The sequence below is a fragment of the Homo sapiens genome, chromosome 20 (assembly GCF_000001405.40).
Source record: "Homo sapiens chromosome 20, GRCh38.p14 Primary Assembly".
Lineage (NCBI taxonomy): Eukaryota > Metazoa > Chordata > Mammalia > Primates > Hominidae > Homo > Homo sapiens.
In genome coordinates this window covers 25,070,466-25,085,044 of record NC_000020.11, presented here as the reverse complement: position 1 = coordinate 25,085,044, position 14,579 = coordinate 25,070,466, and the positions used below count along the sequence as shown (strand labels likewise).

Here is a 14,579-nt window from a genome sequence, read left to right as displayed (position 1 = left end):
GCCACTCACAGCAGGTCCAACCTCAGCCTGGCGCTGCCAAGGCACATTCGCGGTCGGCGACAGAGGGGCTGGAAATCTTCCTTAGAAAATAATGAGCTGAGGAACCTTTATTCATTAGTTAAATCCCGGGTAATCCTGGCTGATGAAGACAGATTCGGAACCCTCAACGGATTTAGGGACCCAAAACGACTCCTGGGGGCCGCCCGGGGCGGGAACGTTCGCGGGAGCTGCGCCTCTGGCAATAGATTTGCAGGTGGTATCCGGTAGGGGGAAGCTGGAAGGAGCCCATTCTTTTGGCCGCCAGGACGCGGAGGCTTCCCCTAAACGCGGCCCGTAGGTTTGGCAACTGCGAGGGCACCCCGGGGACACGAGGATTGTGGGTGGATCGTGGGCTAGCTTTTTATCTCTTGCAGACGTCTCCTAAACGGCAAGAAGCGCTTCCCTGGTCTTGGCTGACGCTGAGTGAAGCGCCCGTATAACTTGACGCTGGGCTCTGGGTGGATCCCCACCACATAGGGCGCGCAAGTGGATACCAGAGCCCCGGCAACAGCGGGGACACAGATGAGCGCAGCGTCGGGTGGGGGGCGTTTCTCACTGTAGGAGGCTATGAAAATGTCCTCCCGCGCTGGGCTCCTGCCACCGCCACGCTGCGAAACACAAGGTGACCCAGGACACAACTCGCCCACCGCTGGGGTCCTGCAGGCCCCTCCCTGGCATTGGGGTCCCGGGATGCATTAGGAACGCCCCAGTCCAGGAATTGCAAGACCCCTTAGAAGTTCGTTCCTTCTGCATCTCTGAGTCCCCTTAGAGCTCCAATACGGGCTCCTTGATTGAGTCTCCTGCTCTGTGTCGCCCTCGCCACGTCTCTGTGTCCGATGTGACTGGGTTAATAAGTCCCAGTTGCTCTCACCTGCAAAATGAGTTTAAGACGATCCTTCCCGAGGCGCCGCGGTCACTATAGAGAGTGTCTGAGGCTGGGCTCCTACCGCCTGGCCTTTTGGTGTCTTTGGATCACTGGCTATCTACTCGGGGTCTGTCACTCCCGTGATCGCCTACCTTCCAGGGAGACCTAGGGGAGGGAGACCCCAAGACCTGTCCCAGGTGAGGCCACTTGGTCGGCACCCGGGGCTGCAGGCACGGCGCCCGCGTCCGCCCTCGCCCCTTAGGCTTTCCATTCGCGGGCGACCCCGGTCGGGCCACCTTAGAATCGACTACCCTGCCTGCCTGACTGGTCTCGGGCTACAAACTGTGTGGAAGCGTAGGTATCTCACTTAACTGCTACCCCAAATTCGGATTTACAAACGACTACGCAGTCCCGAATGCCCAACGCCTTCCCTAAACCCAGAGATAAATCTGGGGGAAAATTCCTCGCGGAGCGGAAAACAACGCCAGCGTCTAAAGCGTTCTGCCCCGAGCTGGAGTGGTTCAAAAGACAATGATCTCAAAAGAAAGTGATTGTTTTGGTAATCCCGGGAACAGCTTGCAAGGGGGAGATTTGGGTCTTCCTTTAGTAACGGAAAGTCAATGCGCAGCCTCCTGTAATTATCCTTATCGGAAGCCCCTTGTTTAATCTGCATGTTTAGCGGAGGCCCCACTCGAACGCGCAGCGAGTGGGAGACCCACTTTGCAGGGCCCAGGCTCGGGCTCCGGTCCCTGCGTGCGCGCAGGCAGCCGCGCCGGGTTCCCGCGGAGCTCAGGCGTTTGCTCCTCCCTCGCTGCGGGACCTCGGACTGTAGGACCCTCAGGGAGTGGGACTGAGGAGATCTGCTTCCGGGGTTCTGGGATTGGGAAGCGGGGGACGCAGGGCTCCGAGCGATGAGGGCTGGTTGGGTTCAAAGCGCGAACCAGTAGTTACTTACCCACGTGCTTGGGGCCAACTTTAGCGAATATCAGAGTTTCACTGATTATTCAAAGAATCAGGCTTTCTTTGAATAATCGTGAAATTGGACAATAAATTGTAAGCCCCGATGAAAAGGTGTGCTTTCCAGTAGACAGACTCTATTTTATTTCAATTTACCTCCCTCCACTCCTCCCCAATTTAGGGTTGCTGGATAAAATACTGATACATACTCCTACAAAAAAAAAAAGCCCTCCTTTTTTATCTGAAATCACATTTCACTGAGCCGACAGTGTTTTGTTGGTTAAACCTGGTACCCTGCCCGTCTCAGCCCCGGGCAGTCCACTCCTCTCTCTGCTTCTCTCCCTTTCCCCAGCTCTTGTGAGTCTGCCACCCCCTACAGTTCAGCCCGTGGAGTGTTGGGGATGGACCTGGGGGTGGATTTGGATGGAGGTAGAATGACCATGGATTAAAGGGATGGAGGTAGGATGACCATGGATTAAATACACGGTTTTCATTCCTTTCCCCTTGGGGATTTTCAGAGAAGGCCTTCTTACAGGAAGGCCTTCGTGGCACCGGCGGCGGAGGTGGAGGGCTGGCTGGGGACATATATGGGGTAGCCATCGGGGTGTGGTTGGGAATGGGGTCCTAGGTCTTAATAGGCAGTTGGGTCGCATCAAAGAAGCTTCAGGGCAGCTGGGAGTGGGGCCTCCACCCAGAGAGTCTGGAAGGAAGGAGAAGGCCACGCCAGGATGTAGAACTTGCGACTTTTCGAGGGACAGGCAGACAGCGGAGTCACTGTCCCTTACCTTCTTTCCTCCCCTCCCTCCTAGAATGGGGGTGGGGTGGGGTGGGGTGGGCTGGACAGAAGAGAGGAGGAGAAGGAGGTGACTGAGGGGACTGCAGCTGGGTGGGCGGTAACCGAGGGGAGGGGAACTGGTGGCGTCCCCATCTCGCGGGGTCCGGAACGGCGACGCGCCCGCGCCCAGCTGATTGGAGCCCTTCAGGCCTCCCGCGCCCGACCGGCAGCCCAATCCTATAAAGCTTCCTCTAAGCTGGGCCCTCCGCAAACGGGATCCAGAGAGGCTCGCGCCTTGCTTGCTAAGGAACCATGACCGGCCGGGACTCGCTTTCCGACGGGCGCACTAGCAGCAGGGCGCTGGTGCCTGGCGGTTCCCCTAGGGGCTCGCGCCCCCGGGGCTTCGCCATCACGGACCTGCTGGGCTTGGAGGCCGAGCTGCCGGCGCCCGCTGGCCCAGGACAGGGATCTGGCTGCGAGGGTCCGGCAGTCGCGCCGTGCCCGGGCCCGGGGCTTGACGGCTCCAGCCTGGCGCGTGGGGCCCTACCGCTGGGACTCGGCCTCCTCTGTGGCTTCGGCACGCAGCCGCCGGCGGCCGCTCGAGCACCCTGCCTGCTCCTAGCGGACGTGCCGTTCCTGCCGCCCAGGGGCCCCGAGCCCGCTGCCCCGCTGGCTCCCAGCCGTCCGCCGCCTGCGCTCGGCCGCCAGAAGCGCAGCGACAGCGTCTCCACGTCCGGTAATCAGGCCCGCGCTTTCCGCTCCTGCCCCTGTCCCCTAGGCTCTGAGCCGCGCAGGGGTCACAGACCATCGCCCCACCGCACCCCTGGCCCCAGCGGCCCAGATCTAGGCGGGGAGCCCAGAGCGAGGCCCCGTCGCGGGAGGGGCATTCGCGGAGCTGCGCCGCCTGCCCCTTGCTGCATCCTAAATCCCTGCCTCTCATCCGGGGTCCTGTTCCCTCAGCGATGTGAGACCGCCACCACCTGGTTCCGGGTGGAACCTTTTGATGAGACCCTGGGGTCTTCAACAACCATCTCCAGAGGGCCATTTTTCCCCCCAGCGCCAGGCGCCAGTCTCCGCCTCTGGCAGCTGCGTGGGTCGGGAAGGCCCGGGCCTGTGGTGGTCACCAGCAGCACCGAACAAGGTACCAGGTGGAAACGCGGGCGGAAATGATCGAATGATTGACGGGTCCTGGAAGAGTACGGGGCCTCGAGCCCTGGAACTGTCCGCCCCTTGGGGTGCTGAAAAGGGAGTCCCGGGTACCGCGCTCCTCTGCCGGCGCAGCGTCCTCCCAGTCCCCTGTGCAGGAGAAAGAAGCAACCTTGGGGATTCATTGTAGTTACGCCTAGAGATGTGTTCCTGGCCTACCCATTTCCCCAAAGAAATCCAGACGGGTCGCGGGGAAAGAGAAGGAAGCAATGAAATTCTATAAAGGACAAGGGCTAAGGAAACGAGTGGTTTTGGGTGTGGGAGAGAAAAGAAAGAATTACACAAGAAAGGATGGTATGTGGTAGAATCTAGAGCTGAGCATCCAGGCAGCCAAGGCAAAAAGAGTAGACTGGGTCTTCTGATACTAAAAGGAAGCATGTCAGATCAATAGGCAGGCAGGTTTTTGCTCCACTCTAAAAGGACTTTATTTCATGAGCTCTACGTAAGATAAAATGAAACTCCCTATTAGTGTCACTAAAAATGCAAAACTGTTTTCATGGGATGGGTTCTTTCTTACAAAACCAAAGGCAGCTAAATCCAACTCTGCCAGCATTTCTGAAAGTCTGGAGCAGAGCTGTCCAAGAAAAATGAAATGTGATTTCATGTTTGACGGAAATTTCTCACAGTCACATTAAAAGTGAAATGAATCTAAATACTATATTTTAACCCAACAATGATAGCAAATATTATCATTTTACACATAATCAATACAAAAATATTTTACTTTTTAGGAGCACTAAGTCTTCTAACTCCATTAAGTGATTTATGTTTACAGCATGTCTTGATCTTACTGGCCACATTTCATGTGCTTAATAACCTTATGTGTCTCATGTCTCATCAGGTTGGACAGCCCAATACAGAATGTTTTAATCCAAGCCAGGTTTCTGGTGAACTAATTGATGGATGAGTAAAACTAGTATTATTTAGTTATTTTTGCCTTTATTCATTTTAAAGATATTTTGAGGCAATTATGCCTTCTAGCAATGAATCTCACAATAGTTTGGCCTTCTAACCTTCTTTTCCATCTAGACTTTTTGATGTATTGGATATAAAAAGGTAAAGCACAGTGGAGTGGTTCTCAAATTTTCAAGGGCAACTACACATCATCTGAGCACACTTGTCAAGAATGAGCCTCCTAGATCCCACCTCCAGAGATTCTGATTTGGTGCATCAGGGAAGGGTTGCAGTTCTGACGAGGGTTCTGATGTCACAAGCCCCAGACTTCCTTTGGGAAATGTTGGTGTAGAGGTTAAGATGATGAGGCTGGGGGCATAGGGGTGGATGTGTTTGGAAGCAGTGTGGGGATAGAAAGTGCAATCAGTGGCTGAGTAGTTTTGGCTTCAGATAATCTGGGATTTGAATTCTCAACTTCACCATTTACTACCTGTGTGATTTTGGGCAAATTACTTAACCATTCGGTGCCTCAGTTTCCTCATCTGTAAAAATAGGATGATAATAATAGCAGCAGCCATTTTGGTGTTTTATTATTATATTAAGAATACTTGAGATAATGTATGGACAGTGTTAAGCACAGAGCCTGGGATCTAGTAGGCACTAAAAATGCTGGCTCATACTGTAAACTACTTAAGTACCCAAGAGGTTCATAACTTCAATCCTCACATTAAAATCCAGGAAATAGAGGGGATATGATCACCCTTAAAGTCCTCTTCTTCTTTCTGTGCCATCAGATGAGGACAGCCAGTCTGAAGACAGGAATGACCTAAAGGCATCCCCCACCTTGGGCAAGAGGAAGAAGCGGCGGCACAGGTATAGGGCCAGGCAGTCCCCTCTGCCTGCCTTTCCTCGGGACACAGCCCAAGGTTTATGGCACCTGCATCTGAGAATTTATGGCCCGGCATGATAGCAGGCCCAGTGGTTTCCTGGTTGGCAATGGGAAGGGCACAGAAGCCATTTGGGAAGATAATTCTGCAGTTCCTAGGAGGCTGGGAAAATGCTACAATCTTGCTAGCATTTTTTTGGGAGCATTTTAAAGACAATTTTGTGGATCTGTCAAATGGATTTTGTCAGAATGAGCTGATGGAATTCATTAAGAAAGAGCTAAAGAACTGTTTTCGTTTGAATCAAATTTCTGGACATCAGCTAATCATTCAGAGGTGGGGTGTTCCATTATCATGAAGTGGCTTCTAGGGTCTGGACAGCAGAGGAAGCAGGCACGGTGGTCCTTAAGGCCAGGGAGGCTGCTGTCCCCAGGGGACATGTGCCCACCTGTGTGTTTTGGGGTCCTTGCAGGACAGTTTTCACTGCTCACCAGCTGGAAGAGTTGGAGAAGGCATTCAGCGAGGCCCACTACCCTGATGTGTATGCCCGAGAAATGCTGGCTGTGAAAACTGAGCTCCCCGAAGACCGGATACAGGTGTCTGGGGTCCCTTTTCTCCGCTCCAAAGATACCACAGAGAACGTGTCATTCCCACATTCAGTGAGCCAATCAGCAGTCCCTTCTCTATAGCCAACACGCTCCCTTTGCATAGAAACTGAGGGTCCCTTAGCTGAAGGCACCACAAGAGCTTGCCCCTATGACCCTCATGCCTTTTTTCATTTTATTATTATTTAGTATCAAATCATTCTTTAAAATCACATGATAATGTGTGCTGCAACTAGAAACTATAAAGATATGTCAATGAAAAAAAAAAAAAAGAGACTACCTCTCCATCTCAAACCCTGAAAGAAATCAACACAAATGCCTGAGGAGACCTTTCTCTACTTTGTGGAGTATATTATCTGCCCCTGAATATGTATGTGCATATACATATCTACATGCATATATACACACACTCACATGCATACATAGAATTTTCCTCTTGGTTTTATCAGAAGATATGTCACTAACTCTTTTTTTAACAGCTAAACCGTATTTCATAATAGTCCTTTATTAACATAATGTTTTTAATGAGAAATATCACCAGCAACCCAATAGCCTAAGCTCGGAAGGAGCCAGTGCCCCAGTGAGCTCATTCCAATTAATGAGAAAAAGCAGGAAACACTGTAGTTGACCTCTTCACACAATGTGGGAAAAGGGAGTTTGATTCTTTAGTTTTTTTCATTCCTGACTCTATGGAAACTTCAGTGGACGTGGTCACAAGTGTCCCTACTGCGTTGAATGCCCGTGAGTCCGGACCGCACGTGGGCGCTGCTGGGGGCTCCTGGGCGCTCTCCCTGAGGGCGGCTGGTTGGCCCTCGGGAGCTATTTCCTTCAGAAATAGCATGGGATCATGCTCGGGAGAGAAGATCCGAGCCCTGGGACGCCGCCTCCGCTCCTCCAGGCGCCCCTCTTCACTGTCTCTTCTGTGTGCCTTCTGCTTCTCCTGCCTCCAACCAGGTCTGGTTTCAAAACCGCAGGGCCAAATGGCGCAAGCGGGAGAAGCGCTGGGGCGGCAGCAGCGTGATGGCCGAGTACGGGCTGTACGGGGCCATGGTGCGCCACTGCATCCCGCTGCCAGACTCCGTGCTCAACTCCGCCGAGGGCGGCCTGCTGGGCTCCTGCGCGCCCTGGCTCCTGGGTAAGGAAGGGCCCCCGGGATCGCACGGCTCGAGGTGTTGTAGGAGGTGGGGGAATCCCAGGGTGTCCCCACCGAGGCAGCCATTTCCAAAGCAAAGCAACGTCAGTTTACTGAGATTCAGGTCCAGAACCGTTCTTATTATTTTTAATTAATAACAAAGCTTGCAGCAACTGGATGGTTGCCTCATTTTTCACAGAGACTGTCTAGGCTGTGTGGAAGTCTCACCGGGCTATGCATGCTAAATATGTATTTGGGATTTAAGGGTGAAATGACATCATTGCATTAACAGCATCCAAGTGTTGAATGCTGTTAGAATTTTTAGAAACCATACAATTTAGGGCACTTGGTAATAGGAAACAGGGCAGTGCTGAGCAGCGACCCCTGGGGACAGTGAGCCCCTCCATCTGAGTCAGGAGGGCTGGCCCCGGGCTTGGTTCTGCCATGAACAACCTGCCGAGTGGCTTTTCTGTCCCTTAGATTTTTGGTGCTCAAAGAGTCTCCGCTGCTGAGACCCAGCACTCTCAGGATGCTCCACCCTTGTTGCCCTGTTTGCTGTCGCCAGAAACCAACAGGCAGGGATCACAGATTGTGGGAATGAGTCACAGATGAGTACCTCCGGGCACGGGGTAATTAGTTAGGAGGATCATGGTGGCATTTTAGGTTTAGATGGAGGAAGTTTTTTGCTCAGCGAACAGTTTTTGAACAGCTACCAAGCAGCCCTATCCTGGGCACTGGAGGTTCCAATCATAGATATGTCCTGACTTTGCTCTCAAGGACTGAAACACTAGAGGGAGCATTGTAGGCAGTGACCCAAACTGGCTCATCTGAAATTGCACAAACAGGTGGGGGAGGGCACTTACTGGCATCTGCGAGACCGCAGCCTAGGGGAAAGTGGGCCCAATGCCAATCACTGTGTCATCCTAAACACCTTTGCTGGATGTGACCCGGGGTCAGACACCTGCTTTAAACCCCTAAGGTGGGAGTTACCTACCTGCCTCTCCTGTAGGCCCCAGAGATAGGCACTGACAAGGACAATTCTAGTGGGATTTAGAGAACAATAAGAAGGAAATTTACTTCATTGCTGAATTTAAATTTTTATTTTTATTTTTTCCTTTTTATTTTTTTTTTTACAAGGGATGCATAAAAAATCCATGGGGATGATAAGGAAGCCAGGAAGTGAAGATAAGTTGGCAGGACTCTGGGGCTCTGACCACTTCAAAGAAGGTTCTAGCCAGAGTGAGTCAGGATCACAGAGAGGCTCAGATAAAGTGAGCCCTGAGAATGGCTTGGAAGATGTGGCTATTGACCTCTCCAGCTCTGCCCGGCAGGAGACCAAGAAAGTGCACCCTGGGGCTGGTGCTCAAGGAGGCTCCAACTCCACGGCACTGGAGGGGCCCCAGCCAGGGAAGGTGGGAGCCACATGAGACCCACAGGTCCCACTGTCAAAGGCTGAAAATGTGCATATTCCTCACTGGCATTTTCCAAAAGACAAAAATTGTCCAAGACATATACTCTCAGTTTGATTTTCTTCTGACAATGTCAAGATAAAATGCAATGCCACTTGCTTTAAGAGGACAGATGAGTGACCTAGGGAAAATTCTATTTCATTCTAGAATGGAAACGGTTCCTTAATGGCACTTTAACCAGTTAACTTGGTGCAAAACTTTTGATTCTCTTTTGTAGCTTGAGCAGGGAGGATCCGAAGTTCAAAAATGATTTCACTGCTGGGCATCATTTGAGATGTGTGGTTCAATGTACTGTATAGATGAATAGGTTAGGTCTGATGTCCTCATTCTCAATTAGGAAATATAAAATTGTTTAATATCCAGAAGAATCTGATATCATCATAGTGAAGACTCCATACAGACACATGAATGAATTATATTGTCTTTACCTTGAACTTGGCCTTGGATATTTCAATTTTCTTGTTAGGGAGTAATTTTGTGTTTTCTTGAGTGTCACTTGATAGGCTATGCATATTGGAATTCAAAGAAACCCATACTCTAGTCGTTTCTGCATTTCCTTTAAAAATAGCATGGGATCATATTTAAACAATTGTTGGATAGCTGGAAACAGTGTTTTTAGGTCAGACCAGGCTTTTGGTCTTTCAAAATTTGTGATTGAAAGCACTTTAGTGACTTGGATTTTGTAAATCTTTCCTTTCCTGCGTTTCCTTTGCCATTTATTTATTCTTTAAAAATAAACATTTTGTGGTGTGTTTACTTTTCAAGGCACTCCTCTATTACACACTTGTACATCTCCACTATCTCTGATCCCAGCCAGGCTCTCCCTTCACCCCTTCTCAATCTGGGGACATGTGACATGTTTTATTCTTCAGGCTGCAGCTCTTACCATGTGTTGCCTTGTCAACTCCTCTGGGGCAGCAGCTGTGTCTGATACACTCTTTGGAGTTCAGAGGCCAGAAAGATACCTTCTAGTTGATGGGAAAATATGGTGCTTCCTGAAGAAGGAAGGGCAGTACAAGGAAAGTGTGGAACTGCTCATTGTGAGGGCTTTCTCTGGGAACTGGCCCAGTGATCTGTCAGGCTAGGCTTGGTGCTCCCATCTCTGCAGGTGAGAAAACAGAAGCTCTCTCCCTTTGGCCTATTTTTCTCATCCTATGTTAGTTCCATACTCTTGGGAAAATTAAACATCACCAGTTCCTTTCTGTAGCAACAGAAAATGATAAGCCCTATGTTCTTGTATTAATTCTGGCTAACAGATATCATAACTGAGGCCTGAGACTGCACCCATAATGAGCAGTTGGCATGAACTCTAGAAGTTCTTCTGTCTTTCCTGTTTAGAGACAGCAGCCCTGGCTCCAGGCTCTGTAGCCACACAGGTTCTGCCTCCCAGAGGGTTGGTTCTCAACACATTTCCTCATGTTTACTCCTCGGTTGTTGCTTCCATCCCTCTTCCTTAGCTTATCCAGGATTGAGTTTGGGAGAGGGAACCAGTAAGCTGTGCAACTTACATACATCACACTTAGACAATACGGGCAGCCACTAAAATTGTAACAGTAAGGCTTATTTATTAATGTGGAATGATGCTGACAAAATTTTGCTGAGTAAAAAAAATCCCTAAAAAAGAAAAAAGATAGAAATAAATATGTAAAGCAGAATGAAAATGAAATGAATAACCTTAACAACTGGTTCTGCATACAAAATATACAAGTAGTGGACAAATCTCTATGTAATATTACAAAGGAAAAGGAGAAAATAGGAAGTGGCACGAGAGAAAGGGGCTAGAAGCACTGAAGTAAAAATGGAAGGATGCTTTCTTAACATAAGGAACTCTCTTCAATATGGCAGGTTAATATTTTATAATGTATACATACATACACGTGTTTATATGTACATATATAAGAGCAGAGTCTTTGAGGCGGCTTTGCCAACTCTAGCCATGTGACCTTGGATGAGTTTCACTACCTTTCTGATCTCTTGGTTTTTCAACTGTAAAATGGGGATGACAGCAGAACACTCATTTTTCTGAAGATTAAATGAGATGACATGAGTAATATACTTGGCTCAGTTTCTGAGGAAGGAGCAAATTAAATATTAACTATTATTACTGTAATTATTGGCATTTCTATTAATATCAAAAATCAAACGAGAAAGTTTATCATTATCATTTTTTGACAATATGGGACAAACAAAATAAATCATGGAATAATAGCTTGTTGGAATGGTCTGCAACAACAACTCAAGAAGAACTCTACGAACACAGCAAAACGTCGCCCTAAGAGCAGGGCTCGGTGTGTCATTGGGCTGCTCTCTCCCTGGCTGTGCAAGGACCAGGAGCTCAACTGGCCACGCCCCACAGAGGACCACCGCTGTCCTGTGTGACTAGAGTCTGGAGACGAGGACTTTGAGCCGCTCACGAACATCATCAGGAATCCAGGACTCAAGCTTGTCCCTGCAAGGTCACTGGAGGTTCCTGAAGTTCAGACATCACAGTGGAGATTACCTATGGCCACATTTCATCAAGGAGTAAACCCCCACCTGCTAGCAGACCGTCTCTCACTCCTCATTGGTCAGCACTGCATGTCACGCTCAGGCCTAAGCCAATCATCACCAGCCAGGTGGGCAGAATTCCTTGTTTGGTTTAGTCCAATCAAAATTCACCTCTGGGGCTAGGTCGTGGCCAGCCCCCGCTCTTTTTGCCCATTAACTAATGTAATTTGGCCCCTTTCAACAAAGAAGAAAGAAAGGGGAATGACTGGTAACCAGCCAACCAATAGGTCATCCCTATGCAGAAGGTAAAGTAGTGCGTGTGTGATATTAAGAGAGAAAACAAGAAACGTGCATAAAGACGAAAAAATAGACGAAAATTTTAAAAAATATTCATAACATTTTTCAGATCATGGACAAATGGATACTTTGAATTTTTAAATATGTTCTAAGTTTTGTAAAATTAGTATGTAAAAATAAAATAATTTTTAATATTAATATTATTAAAATATTAACACCGCTTTCTCAATATAGGGTTAAATTCACATGAGACAAAAACGCTTTTAAAAATATCATATGAAAATTTTTCAGGATAAAGAGTTCACATCTTGCCAGTGACTCCTGCGTGGTTCTCACAGTGCCAATCTGAGGATGGAGAGGCCAGCAGGATTTTACACGTGGTCCTCTCAACCCTCACTCAAATCCCCCAGCACGTCAGATTGGAATCTGGCTACAGACTGACAGCAGGACTGAATTGTTTCCAGTGTTCAAAATTGTTTGCCAGCTGAAATGTGGCTGTTAAAATCCAAAAGGAGATTTCAAAAAATTACAGTTTTAGTAAGGCGAATTTGGAAACATTCTTAATAGGAACCAGTGTAACACTCTTGGCCCTGTAGCAGCAGGAGGCAGCATCTCAGGACTTGAGGACATTCATGAATTAAGGTGATATTTTCAGAAATGATAGAAGAACAAGATATAACAAATAATGCTTTTTCCTTAGGTTTAATCGTATAAAAACAATATATGAAAACACAATTGTTTTCTGTGGTCAATGAATCATGTTCAAATTCATTATCTCTTTGCATTCTCAGAGGGTGAGACATTGGGCTGCAGAGAAATGAAGTGAACCTGCTAAGCCGATTGTCAAATGGATGAGAAACTCAGAGCCAAGGATCGGGAAAACACCCTTAAAGAACGAGGTGATGGCTGAGTCTGTCCCAGCTCAGTGCTTTGATAAGACTGTGATCATCACAGCAGGACAGTATCGGCCTGGGGGGACAAATGGACCCATGCAGCAGGAATAGGAGCAGGCAGCACACACACGTGTGGACAGAAAGTGGGTGCGGCTGACACTGGGGGAGGGCTGGCTTTTTGGTAAGTTACTGGGACAACTGTCCATATGGGAAAACATACAATTGGACCTGTACCTCACACCTTACAGGAAAACACTTCCAGGTGGATTAAAGACATGGTGTATGTGTGGGATGTGTGAAAGGCAAAACTATAAAGCTTTCAGATGTTTTGGTTTAGAAGATCCTTCAATTACCCCCAAACTGTGGCTTAAAACAACCATTTTAAGGTCACAATTGTGTGCATCTGTTTCAGCTAAGTTCACTAAGCCACAGTCTCTCGCTCTCTCTCAGTCCCACCTTTCCCTCTCTCTTTCTATCTACATATATGCAAGAGTTGTTGTGAAATACTCTCCCTGTTTTCCAGTGCAAACTTCTGCTCCTGGAGGCTCCCGTTCACTGGACTTTGCAGGAGACACACAGGCTCCCCAGACCCCGTGGTGGTGCCTGATGACCTTCAGCTGAACCCTGTAATGCTGCTAAAGTCTGCCCCTCTGGAGAAGTGCTCAGGTAGCATTGTTCTGCCTCAGGAAGCATGCCGATTTTCCTGTGTCATCCTTGATGATCACTGCTACCAGACTTGCCCCCTGCAGGGCACCCCATGTGCAAGGAATTCAACAACCTAGGAGTTGAAAGCATTGGTCTCCCAAGTTCAGTGTGTTCTTTTCCGTATCTATTACCAGCTGATGAGAATAAACCTGCAGTCATGACAGCTAGGTCCTAGTGACAGGTGCAGAAAGCTGCTCTTACAGAAACTCCCCTCCTTATTAAGAGGCTTTGTCTATCACTCGGAACTGCTTCTACTCAAGATTATCTGTTGAAAGGGAACTGTCCATACCAGGGCATTGTTCTGACTTTTCTGGACTTCCTCAACCCAAAATGCCTTGAAGAAAAAAAAAAAAGACCCTGAGTGTTAGGGCAGGGTCTCACTCTGTCTCCAGGCTGGAGTGCAGTGGCACAATCATAGCTCACCGCAACCTCTAACTCCTGGGCTGAAGTGATCCTCCCACCTCAGTCTCCTATGTTGCTAGGATTACAGCGTGAGCCACTGCCCCAGCTACTCCAACTTAAGAGTTCCCCCAAGGCTGGCTGCCCTTCTCCTCTCCTTCCATCATGAATGACACATGGGCATCCCCTTCGGCTAGCATGGCTGACCTGTGCCTGCCTGGGTGCTCAGCTTGGCACCCATGTGAGTTTGCAGCCTGAAATTTTAAATGGAGGAGTTTCTGTGCTTTTCTGCCCTGATTCCTCTTACTGACCCTCTAAGTCACCAGCTGTGGTCGTCTCCTCTTTGACCCCTGATCTCAACCCGGGCTTTGAAATGTGTTTGTTCACATAATTGTCCATTACCCATCCTTCCTGTCATTGCAGAATCTGTTGTCTCATACTGACATTTTAAGACTTTTTTTCACTTTCTTCTGTTGAAGATCACCTACTAAGAAGTACTTCCTCCTTTTCATTCTTTCTTTATAAGAATTAATTAAATTTTAATTGACAAAAATTGCATATATTTATGGTGTAAGACATAATGTTTTGGAATGTGTATAGATTGTGGAATGGCTAAATCCAGCTAATTAACATAGCATTACCTCACATACAGTTTTTTTTGTGGTGTGAACACTGAAAATCTACCCCCTTAGTGATTTTGAGTATATAGTACATTGTTATTAACTATAGTCACAGTGTTATACAGGACTTAAACTCATTCCTCCTGCAGAACTGAAATTTTTTGTCCTTCGACCAACCAGGCTGCCTCTTTTCTATTTCCCTCTTTAACACAGTCAATTTTGTGCAGTAACTAAACTGGGAAGTGGGGGAGATTCTGGGATCTCCTTTACTGTCCCATGTAGGGAGCCCTTGGAGGGCCAGGGATTCCATAACAATGACCAAGGTGAAGCCCAATATTGCACAGGAGTGTCT

General features: G+C 48.4%; 1 protein-coding gene across 12 annotated transcripts, besides 4 other annotated features; it reads left to right on the top strand.

The window, feature by feature from the left end:
• Window positions 412–1,017: an enhancer, noted in NCBI's record as "H3K4me1 hESC enhancer chr20:25064664-25065269 (GRCh37/hg19 assembly coordinates)". NCBI's record gives its function as "activates a minimal SCP1, AML or CMV promoter by ChIP-STARR-seq in naive H9 embryonic stem cells {active_cell/tissue: H9 hESC(naive)}" and the evidence as "EXISTENCE:reporter gene assay evidence [ECO:0000049][PMID:30033119]".
• Window positions 1,018–1,622: an enhancer, noted in NCBI's record as "H3K4me1 hESC enhancer chr20:25064059-25064663 (GRCh37/hg19 assembly coordinates)". NCBI's record gives its function as "activates a minimal SCP1, AML or CMV promoter by ChIP-STARR-seq in naive H9 embryonic stem cells {active_cell/tissue: H9 hESC(naive)}" and the evidence as "EXISTENCE:reporter gene assay evidence [ECO:0000049][PMID:30033119]".
• Window positions 2,386–2,915: an enhancer, noted in NCBI's record as "H3K27ac-H3K4me1 hESC enhancer chr20:25062766-25063295 (GRCh37/hg19 assembly coordinates)". NCBI's record gives its function as "activates a minimal SCP1, AML or CMV promoter by ChIP-STARR-seq in naive H9 embryonic stem cells {active_cell/tissue: H9 hESC(naive)}" and the evidence as "EXISTENCE:reporter gene assay evidence [ECO:0000049][PMID:30033119]".
• VSX1 (visual system homeobox 1) lies at window positions 2,904–14,165 on the top strand. Of its 12 annotated transcripts, NR_165181.2 has the most exons (7): window positions 3,714–3,777; window positions 5,531–5,609; window positions 6,093–6,216; window positions 6,928–7,360; window positions 8,495–11,441; window positions 12,402–12,509; window positions 13,027–14,165. NR_165181.2 is itself a non-coding variant. In NM_001256272.2 (5 exons), the coding sequence occupies exons 1-5, from the start codon at window positions 2,949–2,951 to the stop codon at window positions 13,122–13,124; spliced, it is 906 nt and encodes a 301-aa protein (NP_001243201.1). In that variant the 5' UTR covers window positions 2,904–2,948; the 3' UTR covers window positions 13,125–14,165. The 12 variants fall into 12 exon arrangements, 7 of the variants coding, with proteins under 7 accessions (NP_001243201.1, XP_016883326.1, NP_055403.2 ...); NR_045948.2 differs by lacking the exons at window positions 3,714–3,777; window positions 8,495–11,441 and adding an exon at window positions 2,904–3,372 and having other exon boundaries at window positions 7,180–7,360; NR_045951.2 differs by lacking the exons at window positions 3,714–3,777; window positions 6,928–7,360; window positions 8,495–11,441 and adding an exon at window positions 2,904–3,372.
• Window positions 12,938–13,458: an enhancer, noted in NCBI's record as "OCT4-NANOG hESC enhancer chr20:25052223-25052743 (GRCh37/hg19 assembly coordinates)". NCBI's record gives its function as "activates a minimal SCP1, AML or CMV promoter by ChIP-STARR-seq in naive H9 embryonic stem cells {active_cell/tissue: H9 hESC(naive)}" and the evidence as "EXISTENCE:reporter gene assay evidence [ECO:0000049][PMID:30033119]".